We start from the raw sequence: 3,332 nt of genomic DNA on the forward strand, positions 1-3,332 counted from the left end.
TATTGACTTAACTAGGTAAATGTAAACTGATTTCAAATTTGTCTTTGGCCAAGTCTACTTAATAGCTTATAATTTGGAAACGAAGTATATCAATATGGATGTGGGCATTGTGTTTTAAGTCATTGTGGGATATTTTCTTCATATTAGGAACTAATAATGAACGTTCAAAGTTTATTTTTATCCTGATGATAGTGGGCAAGTTTCTTAATTTCTCTGGGCTTTTAGTGATAACTACCTGATGAGCTAATTGTGAAGAATAAATGGAATAATTTATGTACATAAATTACCTTAATGCCTAGTAGCCTAGTACATCGTAAACAAATGGTAGCTATTAATAGTATATATAATATAACTTATATATAATTTTGTATTTTGCATATTGAGTTTTTTGGTTTTTAGTTTTTGTTTTTTGTTTTATGAGACGGAGTCTCTTTTCTGTTGCCCAGGCTGGAGTGCGGTGGTGCGATCTCGGCTCTCTGCAACCTCCACCTCTCAGGTTCAAGGGATTCTCCTGCCTCAGCCTCTCGAGTAGCTAGGACTGCAGTCAAGTGCTACCACGCCCAGCTAATTTTTTGTGTTTTTAGTAGAGACGGGGTTTCAGCGTGTTAGCTAAGCTGCTCTCTATCTCCTGACCTTGTGATCCACCAGCCTCGGCCTCCCAAAGTGCTGAGATTACAGGCGTGAGCCACCGTGCCTGGCTGTCTATTCAGTAGAGTTTTATAGCATTATTTAAAGGAGAAAAGTTATCTAAATATTATGTTAGATCTTACAAGAGTAGCCCAGACTGTAGCAAATGAAGAGAAAAATCTTTTTGCATTTGTAATATGGAGAATATTAACATAGGTAAATAGAAAAGTATAATGAACTCCCCATATACTTATAAATCAGGCCTAATGCCGTGGCTAATCTGGCCCTGTTCGTCTCCACCCACCCCATATTATTTTAAAACAAATCCCAGAGATTATATTTTATCCATAAGTATTTCAGTACTTAAATGGTAAAGTCTCATTTTTAAACAACATAAACCATGATACCATCTCACACTAATCCTTAATCATCATATAACCAGTTAATGTTCCAATTTCTAGGAAATTATTTTTAATAACATTGGGTTACATTCATGGAGAGTAAATATGAATACAGAGGAGTTACTCTTAAGTATATGAGATAATTAAAGGAAATGATTAAGTGGAAAAGTAGAGGTGAGGTTGAGAGTAGGTGTTGTGTCTTGCATATCCCAAGTACCTAATGTTTTCCTATGGATATAATAAGACACTTATTGGGAGAAAAATGGAGCTGACAAATATGGTGAAATTACCAACAGTGACTAAAGAATGACTTTTAGGAGAAGGTGTTGGGTTTTGAAATATACTCAGCAAGGCATGGCAGAAAAGATAATTGGGTGAGTGGGAGAGAAAAAGGCAGTAATATATGCACAGAGTTTTAATAGAGATGATTAAGCAAGTGAAGACAGTTTAGGTGAAAACCTAAGATGCAGCAAAGATAAACACCCTATCATCAAATACTCCAATTACCATGGTCAGAAAGTAATCAGTGGAGGATAATTCAGAATAAATTTACTACAACCGTTATCTGAATTTAAAAAGAAATCTGAAACCATATGGCTGACTAGAGTTGCCAGAAATGAATAAAATTAAGAGATGATTTTATGAGTTCATTGTACTGCAACTACACTAAATATATTGAGTATGAGCCACAGAGTCATTCTCAAACTAGTGAGCCCAGTTTTTTTTTTTTTTGTTTACAAGATCACCCAACTAGAGATGCAGAACACCTTTGTACCACCTAATAGAAAGAGTTCACTATGGTCTGGCATGATTTTATAGGATCCTTGCAGCTGTTGGGATATTAGTCCCTCACTTTGGGGTGGCGAGAGCTCTGATTAAGTTTCTCTATTACCAGGAGGGCAGTTGAGTAATAGTAAAAATAGCACACAGCGAGATTGCCTTCTTACAGTTTTCAAGGTACTTTCACCTACTTTTACTCAGCCTTTAGATGGATCTTTAGAGATGGAAAGATATTTTCATTTTGGTCACACATCAGTGATGTGACTTGAGCCCAGCCCTCCTGAGTCCCATAGGTCTAGTTTTCTTGCTACCACACATGGTGCTTGATTAAACCCAAAGAAGATAGAGCCCAATATGTTTTGTTGGGTAAGTTATAACATTAATGAATCCTATAAAGTTAGTTAAATATGGTTTTATTCAGCATAAAATTTAAGTGCTCTCAAAATGTTTAATACGTCTGATTTGTAAAATCCATTAAAGGATTCAGGATTAAGTGATTTTTCTTAATATCTAGTTGGTTTCCAGTGATTAGGTCTATAATATCTTTCAAGGAGACGGATTTGTTTCTTTTTCAGAACAAACTTTCCTTATATATTGTCTTGTTCTATGAAAGTTGAAATGAATAATCTTTATTACATATTTATATTTAATTTAAAATTTATAAATATACTCTAGCATGTAACATCATTTTTCAGGTAAAATTTTACTTGGTCAAATTTCAAGTAAGCCCGTGGAAATAGGTTTATAAGGGAAATAAAAGAGTTACATGGTGGGGGTGGGGGGAACCTATCTTGATTATTCATCATGTTTGAAGTCTAATTAAAATATATAACAATACTTAACACTGTGCAAAATCAGGTCATATTAATATCTTCTTTCTAATAGGCCTATAAACATGAAAACAGGAAACAAGTGTCTGTGTATATGTGTGTATATATATATTTTAAATTTTTTGTTCTCTTTTGAGATGGGAGTCTTATCCTGTCACCCAAGCTGGAGTGCAGTGACGTTATCTCAGTTCACTGCCACCTCCTCCTCCTGGGTTCAAGCGATTCTCCTGCCTCAGCCTCCCAAGTAGCTTGAACTACAGGCATGCGCCACTATGCCCACCCAATTTTAGTGTTTTTAGTAAAGACGGGGTTTTGTCATGTTGGCCAGTCTGGTCTTCAACTCCTGACCTCAGGTGATTCGCCTGCCTCGGCCTCCCAAGGTGCGGGATTTCTAATCCCACGGTGGCCTGAGCCACCCTGCCCAGCTGTATATATATATATTTTTAATGGACCCTTTTCCTGTTGGTGAAAACTTGCTTAACGTATCAACTGGTATGATACAATGTTAAATGATTGGATTGGTCTTCTGTAATTATAGTTGACTTCAATTAGAGTAGGCGTATGCAAAGCCTGTGCCAGTTAATCACTGGATAGGCAGGGATCTCAAGCATACTATGAGAGAAAAACTTGGTCATTTCCCTACTCATAAAAATGAGTGTCAGATCAATATTTGTCTTTTAGGGTAGTGACGTAG

Source organism: Homo sapiens, chromosome 14 (assembly GCF_000001405.40).
Source record: "Homo sapiens chromosome 14, GRCh38.p14 Primary Assembly".
Taxonomy (NCBI): Eukaryota; Metazoa; Chordata; class Mammalia; order Primates; family Hominidae; genus Homo; species Homo sapiens.